General features: G+C 51.6%; 2 annotated features.

Moving 5' to 3' along the window:
- Positions 4,663 to 5,259: an enhancer, noted in NCBI's record as "H3K4me1 hESC enhancer chr2:233230050-233230646 (GRCh37/hg19 assembly coordinates)". NCBI's record gives its function as "activates a minimal SCP1, AML or CMV promoter by ChIP-STARR-seq in naive and primed H9 embryonic stem cells {active_cell/tissue: H9 hESC(naive and primed)}" and the evidence as "EXISTENCE:reporter gene assay evidence [ECO:0000049][PMID:30033119]".
- Positions 6,441 to 6,530: an enhancer, noted in NCBI's record as "active region_17322". NCBI's record gives its function as "activates an Ori minimal core promoter by ATAC-STARR-seq in GM12878 lymphoblastoid cells {active_cell/tissue: GM12878}" and the evidence as "EXISTENCE:reporter gene assay evidence [ECO:0000049][PMID:35858748]".

Here is a 16,714-nt window from a genome sequence, read left to right as displayed (position 1 = left end):
AAATGCACAAGCCAAGAACGTGCCCCACATCAACAGCACCCACTGCCACAGCGTGGAGGGGAGGGGAAGGGGCTGGGATGTCTCCTGTTTGGGGCTCTCACAGTCAGGCTGCCTGGGCTGGGGCAGCACCCCACAGCCTTCTCCACCCCAACACCAAACCCCCAGACGCTCGCCTGTCTGTCCCTGCAGATACTTGGCTCCAGGAGAAGGTTCTGGGGACAGGAACAGATGGGGTGACCGTGGCCTCTGGGACATCTCGGGGGTGGCAGGACACACAGACTGAAGGCCGCCTGAGGTGGCTGAGCCCTGGAGGAGGGAAAGGCTCCCAGGGCAGGTGCGGGATGTCTTTGGTCGCCTCCCACAGCCAGCCCCGTCTGACGGTGGCAGAACAAAGGCAGCAGTACCCAGTCACTGTCGCTGCGAGGCACTCTGACAAGGGACCCTATTGAGTGTTTCTTTGAAGAAAATTCACTGTAACCAGATCAAATGAGCTTGTTAATCCGGACACCCCAGGAAATGGTGCAGGGGAACAGAGGCCGTGCTCACCATGGCTTTCATCCTAGTTTCTGGCAGCCCTCGGGGACTCCAAGCCACAGAGCTTCCCCCACGGAGGGGGAAGGAGTGCAGACTGGGGTCAGGCTGGCTGGGGAAGGGACTGCCCAGTGGCCGGCCAGCTCTGCTCGGGACCGAGGCAGGTGGGATCTGTGGGTGCTTGGGACACTGGGTGGTCAACGGGGCCAGGCTGTGTCACCAGCAGCCGGTTTCCCCTCCTGGTTTGGAAGGCACTGGAGGGCCCTCCTCCCCTCCCCCAGGCCCAGGCCGGCTCCTCTGTCCAGGCTCCCTTGGCGCTGCCAGGGTACCCACTCACACCAGAGCTGGGCACAGGACCTCACAGAGTGCTGCTTGAGGAACTGCGAGGAGTGGGTGTCACAGGACCCCTGACCCCTACCAGGTCCTGCGGAGCTGGTGCAGAGAGGAAGTGGGGGCAGGGTTGGACATAGTCACATGTGTCAGGGTGATGGGGGCGCTCTCAGTGCTGCATACTAATTCCATTTTTAATCAGGCAGAATGAGACTCCAGCATCAATCTGCCAGGCAGCCAGCTCTGAATTGTGCTGGAACTGACAGGAAGGTTCTGGGTGGTGACATCGGCTCAGCAGCAAGGGTTGGAGCCTAAGCTGGGTCCTTTGCGCTGGGTGCAAGGGGGCATTCCGCTGCCCAGGCTTCCCAGAGGCGCCCCACACACCAGATGGCACTCCACACTTGACTTTGCTCCCTGACATGGATTTACTGAAAAGCCCTCATTTCTTGGGCAGAGGAGGGCAGTGGGGGAAAGGGGGGTTGGCCACTCAGGGGGATGCTGGGCCATTGCTGGCCAGGCCTCAGCCTTCCTTCTAGCCCCACCGTCTTCCTTGCAGTTTGCTTAAAAACTGAGAGGCAAACATAAAATAAAATCCAAAAATAAAAATAAAAACAGGCCAGGCACAGTGGCTCACATCTATAATCCCAGCACTTTGAGAGGCCAAAGCAAGAAGATTGCTTGAGATGAGGAATTTGAGACCAGCCTGGGCAACAAAGCGAAATCCCATTTTTCCAAAGCAAAAACCCAAAAACAGCTGGGCATGGTGGCACAGGCCTGCAGCCCCAGCTACTCGGGAGGCTGAGGCAGGAGGACTATATGAGGTCAGGAGTTTGAAGCTACTTGAGCTGCGATGGTGCCACCATACCCTGAGCCTGAGTGACAGAGCGAGACCCTGTTTCTAAAAAAAAATTAAATTTAAATTTAAAAACTTAAAACATTAAATTTAAGTTAGAAAAATTTAAACATTTTAAAAACAGAATTAAAAATTCCCCTTGGTATCAACAGTTCCTATTTCTAAAAGCCAGCAGGGCCAGATAGCCTCAGTCCTCCTCCCCCGCGGGGCCCAGGTGGCCCTGGGTGCCTGGCCGCTTCAGGACAGCGCTATACTAGAGGGCCATGGCTGCCCGCAGGACCCCCTCCAGCAGGCTGAAGACGGTGATGACCTGTACAGAGCCCGGCTGGGAGGAGACAAGGACGGCAGGGCCTGATGTTGAGGCGCAGCTCCGTCTTGGTCCCTGCAGGAGGACCCCAGGCCCCTCCCTCAGCCTCTGGAAGCCTCTGCTCGCCAGTCAGTAACGGAGGCCTGCTCCAGGATGAACGCCCTGGGTCAGGGCAGAGCTGAGCGAGTCAGAGGCCACGTGTCCCTGATGCATCCTGAGAGCTCCCAAGACTTACAAAATGCAACCTGGGGGCCTGGCTCCACCTTTGGGGCATGTTGTTGGTGCAAACGGTGCCAGAGAATTTCTTGGGTGTAAACTCATAGCTTTCATCAAGTTCTCAAAAGGACCCCAGAAGGCCAGCACCCCTGCAATAGAGGGACAGGCAGAGAGCCCCGCCTCTCTCCACTGTGGTTGTCCCCAAGAGAGGGAAGGTGGTGCCAGAGAGCAGAGCTACAGGAAGGGGGTGGGGGTCTGAGTGAGCTGGGAGGCCCTGGGGGTCCTGAAACCCCACCCGGGAGGCTGCAGTGCTGGGGGAGCCCACCAGGGCACATAGATGAGGGCAGAGGGCACCGCAGGAGGAAGGGGAGGGCTCGCCGGGACTTAGGGGAACGGGACACAGAGGGGGCCACCTGCCCTTCCACCCTGGAGGGCTTCACTGCTTGGAGGCGGCCCTTGGCCCTCAGCCCTGGCCCACCCCTGTCTGGCTGGAGGGAGCTTCAGGGAGGCCCTACCGGCTACCTTCGGCTGAGGCAGCAGGTGAGAGTGACCAAGGGCCAGGGGCGGGAGCTGGGAGGGCCTGTGGCTGTGTGTGCTACAGGGAGCAGGCGGTGGGGGGTCCAGGGCTGACTGCACTGAAGTGGGGACAGAGAACTGTGGCAGTGGAGCACTGCGCTCCCTGCTGGTGCCATCTGTCAGTACAGGTGGGGCTGGACCCACTGCAGGGTGAGCTAGGCTTGAACTTCAGGACACACAGCCCCGAGGGTCAACGGGTGGACTCTGTCGTTCCTCTTCTGCTCAGCTCCCGGTTTACTACACACAACGGGCTGGACACTGTACTCCCAGGGCACTCTGGATGTTAGGAAATTCAAAGCCAGGCACAGGGGCAGGTGGTGACCTGCAGACCCCAGGGTCAGCTGGAGCCAAGCCCCTAAGGCAGCATTAGGACAGGCCCATGTCCCCTTGGAGAGAGAACTGTGAATCAACAGTCACTCAGGGAAGGAGACGAGCCAGGGACAGTTCTCTTCCTACTGCTCAGCGGACACTCCATCCAGAGTGGCCAAGGACCATTCTCTGGCTTCTTCTTTCTTCATGTCCCTTTTAAAACAGTCCCCAAAGCCAAGCAAGCCTGGGGCCGGGACCCTTTCTGCATAAGGGCACCCAAGGGGAGGCCAGGAGGCGGGGAGACCACAGGTGCCCATGCCTCTCTCCAGGAGACAAATCTGGCACCAGAGCAGCTAGATACAGAGTGTCGATCGGTGCATTCACAAACCCTGAGCTAGACACAGGGTGCTGATTGCTGTGTTTACAAACCTTGAGCTAGATACAGAGTGCCGATTGGTGTATTTACAATCCCTGAGCTAGACATAAAGGTTCTCCAAGGCCCCACCAGAGCAGCTAGATACAGAGTGTCGACTGGTGCATTCACAAACCCTGAGCTAGACACAGGGTGCTGATTGCTGTGTTTACAAACCTTGAGCTAGATACAGAGTGCCGATTGGTGTATTCACAATCCCTGAGCTAGACATAAAGATTTTCCACGCCCCCACCAGACTCAGGAGCCCAGCTGGCTTCACTCAGTGGATTCCGCACCGGGGCTGCAGGTGGAGCTGCCTGCCAGTCCCGCCCCGTGCGCCCGCACGCCTCAGCCCTTGGGTGGTTGATGGGACTGGGCGCCATGGAGCAGGGGGTGGCGCTCATCGGGGAGGCTCGGGCCGCACAGGAGCCCATGGAGGGGGTGGGAGGCTCAGGCATGGCGGGCTGCAGGTCCCGAGCCCTGCCCTGCGGGAAGGCAGCTAAGGCCCGGTGAGAAATCGAGCGCAGCGCCGGTGGTCTGGCACTGCTGGGGGACCCAGTACACCCTCTGCAGCCGCTGGCCCGGGTGCTAAGCCCCTCATTGCCCGGGGCCGGCAGGGCCGGCCGCCTGCTCAGAGTGCGGGGCCTGCCAAGCCCACGCCCACCCGGAACTCCAGCTGGCGCGCAAGCTCCGCGCGCAGCCCTGGTTCCCGCTCGCGCCTCTCCCTCCACACCTCCCTGCAAGCTGAGGGAGTTGGCTCCGGCCTTGGCCAGCCCAGAAAGGGGCTCCCACAGTGCAGCGGTGGGCCGAAGGGCTCCTCAAGTGACGCCAAAGTGGGAGACCAAGCAGAGGAGGTGCCAAGAGCAAGCGAGGGGCTGTGAGGACTGCCAGCACGCTGTCACCTCTCACCGGGGCCGAGGAACAGGAGCACCGCAGACCTTCTGGTAACTCTCTGCCATCGGATTCCCGGGCAAGGGCACCTCTGAGCTCCCTGGCAGGCGAGCCAGGAGAATGCAGCCATTCCTGCTGCAGAAATATCTGCATGATTTGTCATCTGCCTTCGGTCAGGCCATCAGCACAGAAATGCTTCAGATGCACACAATCATGCATACTTTTGCCCTCTCGCTCCACAAAGATTACCATGTGCCAGGCACGGACTTTCTCCCCATGGAGTCGGACAATCCTCCTGGGCAGGAGCATCCAGGCTGTTTCCTGGTGCCCCTTCCCCCTCCAGCCCAGCTGTAGGCCTAGGGGAAGAAGGACACCTGGAGCTTCCAGGCCGACCTTAAGCTGCATTTTGCAGTGTGGCCAGCAGGACGCAGCATGGCCCCAGATCGGGCAGCACTGAGGCTGCAGGCTAAGGAGGCCACCAGGCGGGCAGGGTGAAAGAGCAGGGCTGTGTGAGGTGGCCCCTGGTTACTCCTCTGTGCCCATGCCCCACCCTCTATGGGTTTAGGAACTGAATATCTGGGGGCCTCTCAGGGCTGAGCCAGGCTCCTGCTCTCAGTTCCTGCAGGCGCTCTCCACATCCCTTCTCATGGTCTTCAGTAAACACGAGGACAAGGACAGGAGGGAGGGGAAAGGGAGAGGGTGGGGCTGCTGCGGAAGCCCCTGCCAAGACCACAGACCTCAGGCAAGCTGCTTCCCTGGCAACTCCGCTGCCTGCCCTCCCTGGACCCCAGCACAGTCCCCGGAGTCACCTCTGCCCTCGACAGAGAACAAGTGCACTCTTGGTGACCTTGAACGTGAAGCCTGGTGAGGCTTTGGAGGAGAGGCCCACCTTGCCAGGGCCCTTGGTGTGGCTGAGTCTCTGCTTCCCTTGCCGTCTCAGCCTCTCCCTCCCTCTAGGGGGCTGGGGGTCGGGACAGCGCCTGTGGGGCTCTGGCCCAGCCAGTTGGGCCACATCAAGCAGGGACCCAGACAAAAGTCAAGGGCAGTGAGTAGGGAGCTGGCACCGCAGAGAGTCCACTTCCCAGGCGCAGCCTTGGCCATGATGTTTGAGGACAGCTGCAGGGGCTGTTTGGTGCCCTCATGTCCTTCTGATGCTGCAGGTAGCGATGGGGGCAGAGAGAAGAGGTGGGCTCCGAGCAGGAGTGAGCAAAGGTGGGGCTAGCCCCTGGCTCTGGTGATGGCACCCTGGGGTGACTAGAAGGTGGGTCCCCAGTGGAGTTTGGGGACAGAAAGGTGCAGGCCAAGCCCAGCACTCCATCCCCGGAACGGAGAACTGAGCTGAGCAGTGCGGGGCGGGTGGGCTGGGTAGGTGGGAGTCAGGGCTCTCATTTGGGGCTAGCACAGGGACCCCTCGTACAGTCTCATACTCTCCTCACAGGATCCAATGTACCTGCCAAATTGATAAGAAATTCACCCCAACCCTTCCTTTCCCAGGACAGTCAGACTGGCTTTGGAAATGATTAAAAGTTGATCTGGGCCTGGGCAGAAGGGCATGGCTGTTAGCCAAAGCTGAACTGCATTCATCTTCAAAGACTTAAGAGAAGCAGCCCCTTCTACCCTCAGCCACCAGGACCATTCTGTCACATTCTGTGGGAGGCTCCTGCTAATGGAATGAGGCCACTCACAGAGCTTGGTCAATTAGCTCTTGCTGAAAACTGCTAACGTGGAACTTTGGTAAGTATGGCATGCAGGGAGTGGTGTATCATCCCATCATCCCAGCACTTTGGGAGTTCAAGGCGGGAGGATTGCTTAAGCCCAGGAGCTTGAGACCAGCATTGGCAACAAAGTGAGATCCCATCTCTACAAAAAAAAAAAAAAAAAAAAAAAAGTCAGCCTGGTGTGGTGGAATGTGCCTGTTGTCCCAGCTACTTAGGAGGCTGAGGCAGGAGGGATCCCTTGAGCCCAGGAGGTTGAGGCTGCAGTGACCCATGATCGCATGACTGCACTCCAGCCTGAACAACCGAGTGAGACCCTGTCTTGAAACAAAATCAAAAGAATTGCTCCCAGCCAGTTTCACTTTCATTTCTTCTGAACACCAAATTTTCAAGGACTTAGGCAGGTCCTTACTGCAGGCTTGGAGCCTGTGGGCTCTCCTGAGGCCATGAAGGCAGCTGCTGGGCCTGTCTCAGAAGCAGAGTGCCCGAGCACAGCCACTTCTCCGTGGCTGGGCAGCCCTCAGAGCGCAGGTGGCGGCCACCTTTACGCGGGACCTGCCGTGTTCTTAGTGGCCGGAAATTGAGTGTAGTGTGGTAGAAACCGCAGGGCCCCGGGAGGCAGGGGTCTGCAGGGCACTGAATTGCAGGCTGCTGGGGAGGGAAAGTGGAAAAGATCTTGGTGGCTGCTCTGTCCCGGGCCAGGCCAGGTGGGGCTGGGGGCCTGGGAGCTGGAAAGTGGAGGCCTGGAGTGAGGCAGCTGCAGGCAGAGCCCCTGGCCTGGGTCAGGGAGGGGCACCGGGAGGAAGTGTAGCTGCTTGACTGATGGACCCTCGCCCACAGCTGGCCATGCACCCTGCTGCCAGTCTCCAGCAGAGGGTGCCGTGGCCTCTGGGTGGCCCACCAGTCACAGCTCGGGCCTCTCGCTGACCCCTCTCCTCCTGGGTGCACTGCAACCTCCTGAATGCATTGGACGTTCCCATGAAACCACAGAGAAATGAATGGGGCCCAGTTCACAGGCATGGAAAAGCCCAGAGGAGAAGGCCTCTGGAGCCAAACATCACATGCCTGCAGGGGAGGCCAGAGCCAGGTTTCCTAGGCTGGGAGGCTCAGTCCACGGCAGGGCCTTTCTATAGGTGAGTCGGCGGGGCCCTGCTGCAGCCAGGCACATTCAGCTACTGTTTTTCTAGCTCCAAAGGACGGAAGTCCCCAGAGGCTAGGTGGCCACATTTGGGCCCTCAGGCCTTGCCAAAGGGAGGCCCAGTGGCTATAGTGGTTTTGGGGAGGGGGCTTGCTGGGAGCTGGGGCTGGGCTCTAGGCACTCAGGTGTTCAAGGGATAAGGGTGTTCTGGAAAGGTGTTCTGGTGCAGGTCTTTTTCCTCTCTTCTGCCCGCATACACGCTCTCAAATACCAATGCTGCCAGAGATGGCTAGGTAAATGAGATGAACCTGGGCTTCCTGGGACCTCTGGCAGCTTTGCTGCTGCAAATTGGAACACATTTGTTCACCTTTGAAAGGTGCTCTTGCCCCCATGCCTGCTAGGGGCAGGTTCTCTTCAGCAGGGCCACCACCCCAGCCAGGTAGCCCCTAAAGGCTGCAAGAAAATGAGAGCACAGCTGCCATCCTGGGCTGGGCTCTGTGCACTTTCCCATGTACTCCTCAAACCTCTGGTAAGGCTGCCACCTCCCAGCTGCATCCGGCTCTGGCCCCTCTCTTGTCTCAGAGTCGCCCTGGGCTGAGCACAGTGCTGAGCATGTTTGCTTTTCCTGCCCTCAGTCTTCCCATCGCCCGCAGAAGGTGCCAGGTGCTGCCTTTGTTGTTAATGCTCCTCCCACCACCCCATGGAGACTTGATGGGCCCCAGATGTGCTGGGTCAGGATGTTACCACACAGCAGGTGGATCCTGTCTCTCCATGAGTGTATTCGTCCATTCTGCAGTGCTATGAAGAAACACCTGAAACTGGGTAATTTATAAGAAAAGAGGTTTAATTGGCTAACAGTTCCACAGGCTGTACAGGAAGCATGGCTAGGGAGGCCTCAGGAAACTTTCAATCATGGCAGAAGGCAAAGGGGAAGCTGGCACGTCTTCCATGGCCAGAGAGTGAGGAAGAGAGAGAGGAGGGGGAGGGGCTGCACACATTTAAATGACCAGATCTTGTGAGATCTCACTCGCTATCACGAGAACAGCAAGGGGAAAGTCCTACCCCATGATCCAGTCACCTCCCACCAGGGAGCTCCTCCAATGCTGAGGATTACAATTCAACATGAGATTTGGGTGGGGACACAAATCTAAACTATATTGTCACTGGTGGAGGGTTGTGACTGCAGGTTGTCCAGGTTCTTGGCCTATTGAACAAAGAATTGGACAAAATGCCCAGCAAGGCAAAGAAAGAATGAAGCAACAAAAGAATGAAAATGGGGATTTATCGAAAACGAAAGTACACTCCATGGTTTGGGAGTGGACCGAGCAGCAGCTCAAGGGCCCAGATACGGAATCTTCTTGGGTCCAAATATCCTCTAGAAGTTTCCCATTGGCCACATCATGCTCACCTCATGTAAATGAAGTGGTGGCCTGCAATCAGTCTGATTGGTTACAGAAAGCAGCCAACCAGAGGCTGAAGTGAAGTTACAAAGGTTACACTCCTGTTCAACCAATCAGAGACTAGGGTGAAGTTACAAAGTTATACTTCTATTGAAACGAAGATGTGGCCAGCAATCAGTCTGATTGGTTGTGGACAGCAGCCATTCAGAGGCTGGAGTGAAGTTACAAAGTGGCAAACAAAGACTGGACCTTCAATCAATCTGATTGGTTGTGGACAGCCAATTTCCCATCTGCCTAGCAGAAAAGGTGAGGGGGTTGCAAAGGGAGTAGCCTGTGGTCCTTTTGTTACTTAGGCATGGAAAGGTAGGGTTCTGCCTTCAATTTAGTTCTAGGAAGTCGGTGTGAAACAGGCTTAGGTTCCCTGTGTCCAGACCCTATTCTCCTGCCTCAATATTGGTATCACCCAATGATCACCCAGTGACCATAACCAAGGAGGATTTAGCAATGGGATTTTGTTACTTGTAACAGGGAACCAGCAGGGACAGTTCCCAAGGCAGTGTGTCTCTGAGCTGGGCACTGGGTCAAATTTTAGAAGCATAGGCTAACGAGGTGTGATGTTACTGGAAACTGCCATGGGGGTGACACCAGAGCTCCAACTGCTTTTTTTTTTTTTAATTTATTATTATTATACTTTAAGTTTTAGGGTACATGTGCACAATGTGCAGGTTAGTTACATATGTATACATGTGCCATGCTGGTGCGCTGCACCCACTAACTCGTCATCTAGCATTAGGTATATCTCCCAGTGCTATCCCTCTCCCCTCCCCCCACCCCACAACAGTCCCCAGAGTGTGATGTTCCCCTTCCTGTGTCCATGTGTTCTCATTATTCAATTCCCACCTATGAGTGAGAATATGCGGTGTTTGGTTTTTTGTTCTTGCAATAGTTTACTGAGAATGATGATTTCCAACTTCATCCATGTCCCTACAAAGGACGTGAACTCATCATTTTTTATGGCTGCATAGTATTCCATGGTGTATATGTGCCACATTTTCTTAATCCAGTCTATCATTGTTGGACATTTGGGTTGGTTCCAAGTCTTTGCTGTTGTGAATAATGCTGCAATAAACATACGTGTGCATGTGTCTTTATAGCAGCATGATTTATAGTCCTTTGGGTATATACCCAGTAATGGGATGGCTGGGTCAAATGGTATTTCTAGTTCTAGATCCCTGAGGAATCGCCACACTGACTTCCACAATGGTTGAACTAGTTTACAGTCCCACCAACAGTGTAAAAGTGTTCCTATTTCTCCACATCCTCTCCAGCACCTGTTGTTTCCTGACTTTTTAATGATTGCCATTCTAACTGGTGTGAGATGGTATCTCATTGTGGTTTTGATTTGCATTTCTCTGATGGCCAGTGATGGTGAGCATTTTTTCATGTGTTTTTTGGCTGCATAAATGTCTTCTTTTGAGAAGTGTCTGTTCATGTCGCCCACTTTTTGATGGGGTTGTTTGTTTTTTTTCTTGTAAATTTGTTTGAGTTCATTGTAGATTCTGGATATTAGCCCTTTGTCAGATGAGTAGGTTGCGAAAATTTTCTCCCATTTTGTAGGTTGCTCTGATGGTAGTTTCTTTTGCTGTGCAGAAGCTCTTTAGTTTAATTAGATCCCATTTGTCAATTTTGGCTTTGGTTGCCATTGCTTTTGGTGTTTTAGACATGAAGTCCTTGCCCATGCCTATGCCCTGAATGGTAATGCCTAGGTTTTCTTCTAGGGTTTTTATGGTTTTAGGTCTAACGTTTAAGTCTTTAATCCATCTTGAATTGATTTTTGTATAAGGTGTAAGGAAGGGATCAAGTTTCAGCTTTCTACATATGGCTAGCCAGTTTTCCCAGCACCATTTATTAAATAGGGAATCCTTTCCCCATTGCTTGTTTTTCTCAGGTTTGTCAAAGATCAGATAGTTGTAGGTAAGCGGTGTTATTTCTGAGGGCTCTGTTCTGTTCCATTGATCTATATCTCTGTTTTGGTACCAGTACCATGCTGTTTTGGTTACTGTAGCCTTGTAGTATAGTTTGAAGTCAGGTAGTGTGATGCCTGTAGCTTTGTTCTTTTGGCTTAGGATTGACTTGGCAATGCGGGCTCTTTTTTGGTTCCATATGAACTTTAAAGTAGTTTTTTCCAATTCTGTGAAGAAAGTCATTAGTAGCTTGATTGGGATGGCATTGAATCTGTAAATTACCTTGGGCAGTATGGCCATTTTCACAATATTGATTCTTCCTACCCATGAGCATGGAATGTTCTTCCATTTGTTTGTATCCTCTTTTATTTCCTTGAGCAGTGGTTTGTAGTTCTCCTTGAAGAGGTCCTTCACATCCCTTGTAAGTTGGATCCCTAGGTATTTTATTCTCTTTGAAGCAATTGTGAATGGGAGTTCACTCATGATTTGGCTCTCTGTTTGTCTGTTGTTGGTGTATAAGAATGCTTGTGATTTTTGTACATTGATTTTGTATCCTGAGACTTCGCTGAAGTTGCTTATCAGCTTAAGGAGATTTTGGGCTGAGACAATGGGGTTTTCTAGATATACAATCATGTCGTCTGCAAACAGGGACAATTTGACTTCCTCTTTTCCTAATTGAATACCCTTTATTTCCTTCTCCTGCCTAATTGCCCTGGCCAGAACTTCCAACACTATGTTGAATAGGAGTGGTGAGAGAGGGCATCCCTGTCTTGTGCCAGTTTTCAAAGGGAATGCTTCCAGTTTTTGCCCATTCAGTATGATATTGGCTATGGGTTTGTCATAGATAGCTCTTATTATTTTGAGATACGTCCCATCAATACCTAATTTATTGAGAGTTTTTAGCATGAAGGGTTGTTGAATTTTGTCAAAGGCCTTTTCTGCTTCTATTGAGATAATCATATGGGCTTTGTCTTTGGTTCTGTTTATATGCTGGATTACATTTATTGATTTGCATATATTGAACCAGCCTTGCATCCCAGGAATGAAGCCCACTTGATCATGGTGGATAAGCTTTTTGATGTGCTGCTGGATTCGGTTTGCCAGTATTTTATTGAGGATTTTTGCATCAATGTTCATGAAGGATATTGGTCTAAAATTCTCTTTTTTGGTTGTGTCTCTGCCTGGCTTTGGTATCAGGATGATGCTGGCCTCATAAAATGAGTTAGGGAGGATTCCCTGTTTTTCTATTGATTGGAATAGTTTCAGAAGGAATGGTACCAGTTCCTCCTTGTACCTCTGGTAGAATTCGGCTGTGAATCCATCTGGTCCTGGACTCCTTTTGGTTGGTAAGCTATTGATTATTGCCACAATTTCAGATCCTGTTATTGGTCTATTCAGAGATTCAACTTCTTTCTGGTTTAGTCTTGGGAGAGTGTATGTGTTGAGGAATTTATCCATTTCTTCTAGATTTTCTAGTTTATTTGCATAGTGGTGTTTGTAGTATTCTCTGATGGTAGTCTGTATTTCTGTGGGATCGGTGGTGGTATCCCCTTTATCATTTTTTATTGCATCTATTTGATTCTTCTCTCTTTTTTTCTTTATTAGTCTTGCTAGCGGTCTATCAATTTTGTTGATCCTTTCAAAAAGCCAGCTCCTGGATTCATTAATTTTTTGAAGCGTTTTTTGTGTCTATTTCCTTCAGTTCTGCTCTGATTTTAGTTATTTCTTGCCTTCTGCTAGCTTTTGAATGTGTTTGCTCTTGCTTTTCTAGTTCTTTTAATTGTGATGTTAGGGTGTCAATTTTGGATCTTTCCTGCTTTCTCTTGTGGGCATTTAGTGCTATAAATTTCCCTGTACACACTGCTTTGAATGCATCCCAGAGATTCTGGTATGTTGTGTCTTTGTTCTCGTTGGTTTCAAAGAACATCTTTATTTCTGCCTTCATTTCGTCATGTACCCAGTAGTCATTCAGGAGCAGGTTGTTCAGTTTCCATGTAGTTGAGCGGCTTTGAGTGAGATTCTTAATCCTGAGTTCTAGTTTGATTGCACTGTGGTCTGAGAGATTGTTATAATTTCTGTTCTTTTACATTTGCTGAGGAGAGCTTTACTTCCAAGTATGTGGTCAATTTTGGAATAGGTGTGGTGTGGTGCTGAAAAAAATGTATATTCTGTTGATTTGGGGTGGAGAGTTCTGTAGATGTCTATTAGGTCCGCTTGGTGCAGAGCTGAGTTCAATGCCTGGATATCCTTGTTGACTTTCTGTCTCGTTGATCTGTCTAATGTTGACAGTGGGGTATTAAAGTCTCCCATTATTAATGTGTGGGAGTCTAAGTCTCTTTGTAGGTCACTCAGGACTTGCTTTATGAATCTGGGTGCTCCTGTATTGGGTGCATATATATTTAGGATAATTAGCTCTTCTTGTTGAATTGATCCCTTTACCATTATGTAATGGCCTTCTTTGTCTCTTTTGATCTTTGTTGGTTTAAAGTCTGTTTTATCAGAGACTAGGATTGCAACCCCTGCCTTTTTTTGTTTTCCATTGGCTTGGTAGATCTTCCTCCATCCTTTTATTTTGAGCCTATGTGTGTCTCTGCACGTGAGATGGGTTTCCTGAATACAGCACACTGATGGGTCTTGACACTTTATCCAATTTGCCAGTCTGTGTCTTTTAATTGGAGCATTTAGTCCATTTACATTTAAAGTTAATATTGTTATGTGTGAATTTGATCCTGTCGTTATGATGTTAGCTGGTTATTTTGCTCGTTAGTTCATGCAGTTTCTTCCTAGTCTCGATAGTCTGTACATTTTGGCATGATTTTGCAGCAGCTGGTATCAGTTGTTCCTTTCCATGTTTAGCGCTTCCTTCAGGAGCTCTTTTAGGGCAGGCCTGGTGGTGACAAAATCTCTCAGCATTTGCTTGTCTGTAAAGTATTTTATTTCACCTTCACTTACAAAGCTTAGTTTGGCTGGATATGAAATTCTGGGTTGAAAATTCTTTAAGAATGTTGAATATTGGCCCCCACTCTCTTCTGGCTTATAGAGTTTCTGCCGAGAGATCCGCTGTTAGTCTGATGGGCTTCCCTTTGTGGGTAACCCGACCTTTCTCTCTGGCTGCCCTTAACATTTTTTCCTTCATTTCTACTTTGGCGAATCTGACAATTATGTGTCTTGGAGTTGCTCTTCTCGAGGAGTATCTTTGTGGCGGTCTCTGTATTTCCTGAATCTGAATGTTGGGCTGCCTTGCTAGATTGGGGAAGTTCTCCTGGATGATATCCTGCAGAGTGTTTTCCAACTTGGTTCCATTCTCCCTGTCACTTTCAGAGTGACACCAATCAGATGTAGATTTGGTCTTTTCACATAGTCCCATATTTCTTGGAGGCTTTGCTTGTTTCTTTTTATTCTTTTTTCTCTAAACTTCCCTTCTCGCTTCATTTCATTCACTTCATCTTCCATCGCTGATAGCCTTTCTTCCAGTTGATCGCATCGGCTCCTGAGGCTTCTGCATTCTTCACGTAGTTCTCGAGCCTTGGTTTTCAGCTCCATCAGCTCCTTTAAGCACTTCTCTGTATTGGTTATTCTAGTTATACATTCTTCTAAACTTTTTTCAGAGTTTTCAACTTCTTTGCCTTTGGTTTGAATGTCCTCCCGTAGCTCGGAGTAATTTGATCGTCTGAAGCCTTCTTCTCTCAGCTCCTCAAAGTCATTCTCCGTCCAGCTTTGTTCCGTTGCTGGTGAGGAACTGCGTTCCTTTGGAGGAGGAGAGGTGCTCTGCTTTTTAGAGTTTCCAGTTTTTCTGCTCTGTTTTTTCCCCATCTTTGTGGTTTTGTCTACTTTTGGTCTTTGATGATGGTGATGTACAGATGGGTTTTTGGTGTGGATGTCCTTTCTGTTTGTTAGTTTTCCTTCTAACAGACAGGACCCTCGACTGCAGGTCTGTTGGAGTACCCGGCCATGTGAGGTCAGTGTGCCCCTGCTGGGGGGTGCCTCCCAGTTAGGCTGCTCGGGGGTCAGGGGTCAGGGACCCACTTGAGGAGGCAGTCTGCCCGTTCTCAGATCTCCAGCTGCGTGCTGGGAGAACCACTGCTCTCTTCATAGCTGTCAGACAGGGACACTTAAGTCTGCAGAGGTTACTGCTGTCTTTTTGTTTGTCTGTGCCCTGCCCCCAGAGGTGGAGCCTACAGAGGCAGGCAGGCCTCCTTGAGCTGTGGTGGGCTCCACCCAGTTCGAGCTTCCCGGCTGCTTTGTTTACCTAAGCAAGCCTGGGCAATGGCAGGCGCCCCTCCCCCAGCATTGCTGCCGCCTTGCAGTTTGATCTCAGACTGCTGTGCTAGCAATCCGCGAGACTCTGTGGGCGTAGGACCCTCCGAGCCAGGTGCAGGATATAATCTCCTGGTGCGGCATTTTTTAAGCCCGTCGGAAAAGCGCAGTATTCGGGTGGGAGTGACCCGATTTTCCAGGTGCCGTCTGTCACCCCTTTCTTTGACTAGGAAAGGGAACTCCCTGACCCCTTGCACTTCCCGAGTGAGGCAATGGCTCGCCCTGCTTCGGCTCGCGCACGGTGCACGCACCCACTGACCTGCGCCCACTGTCTGGCACTCCCTAGTGAGATGAACCTGGTACCTCAGATGGAAATGCAGAAATCACCCATCTTCTGCATCACTCACGCTGGGAGCTGTAGACTGGAGCTGTTCCTATTTGGCCATCTTGGCTCCTCCCCCCCATCTGCTTCTTAATTCAGTTCTTGCTCCTTGGTTGGAGCACTTAGGTCCTCCCTATGGTGGCATGCTTTGTTCACCTGGGCATGCTCAAGGTATGCGAACTTTAACCTGGGGGTCCACGGCCGCTGAAAAACAACTCACAACTTTGTTACATAAAAATTAAACCAAGCTGGGCACAGTGGCTCCTGCCTGTAATCCCAGCACTTTGGGAGGCTGAGATGGGTGGATCACTTGAGGTCAAGAGTTCAAGACCAGCCTGACTAACATGGTGAAACCCCATCTCTACTAAAAACAATTTCATTCCTCTAACCAAGGCCTACATCCCTAATCAGCAGGAAGTACTAAAAATACAAAAATTAGCCTTGCGTGGTGGTGTGCACCTGTAGTCACAGCTATTCAGGAGGCTGAGGCATGAGAATCACTTGAGCCTGGGAGGCAGTGCTTGCAGTTAGCCGAGATCGTGCCACTGCACTCCAGCCTGGGTGACAAAATGAGACTCTGTCTCAAAAAAATAAAAAATAAAAACAAAGTTGAACCAGATTATTCTGATGCAGTTACAAATCTCCCCCACCAGCTTTGTTTGTTTTTGTTTGTTTGTTTGTTTGTTTGTTTTGAGGTGGAGTCTTACTCTGTTGTCCAGGCTGGAGGCAGTGGTGCAATCTCAGCTCACTTGAACCCTCCCGGGTTCAGGTGATTCTCCAGCCTCAGTCTCCCGAGTAGCTGGGATCACAGGCGTGCACCACCATGCCCAGCTAATTTTTGTATTTTTAGTGGAGACGGGGTTTCACCATGTCGGCCAGGCTGGACTCGAACTCCTAACCTCATGTGCAATCACTTGAGTCAGAAACCTCAAGGAGTCCCCAAATCAGTCCCTCGCCCAGGCCTGAGTGTGGCCTGGGGTCCTCAGCAGGCTAGTGCCCTGAGGGTCCTTGGCTGTCACACTCCCTGGCCCCTGCAGGCTCTCACTGGCCTGTTCCTGGCCTCAGCCCTGTTCCCTTACCAGCCACAAGGAGGTCGGTGCCTCTTCCCCAGGGGCCCCTTGGGGCCTCCTATTAGGTGACAGGTGCCCAGACCCTTAGGCTCCCTGGGTTTCCACACTGCCCCCTCTGCTCCCCATGTCAAAGCCCACCTTCTCCACTCAGCTCCCCATGGGACTGTACAGGTTTAGTTCAGACCCCGTCCTAGGCATCCTCCAGGTACGGACTCACGGAGCCCCACGGCAGCATCATGCAGTAGGGGCTATAATCACCCCCTTTACAGATGGGCAAAATGAGGCATGGCAAAGTCCCCTGGGGGAGCCACCCTGTGTGTGTGTGTATGTGTGTACACGTGTGTATATGCATGTATGTGTGCA

This window comes from Homo sapiens, chromosome 2 (assembly GCF_000001405.40).
Source record: "Homo sapiens chromosome 2, GRCh38.p14 Primary Assembly".
In the NCBI taxonomy this organism is placed as follows: domain Eukaryota; kingdom Metazoa; phylum Chordata; class Mammalia; order Primates; family Hominidae; genus Homo; species Homo sapiens.
The sequence above is the reverse complement of the archived record's forward strand: the minus strand, read 5'-3'. Positions and strand labels throughout refer to the sequence as shown.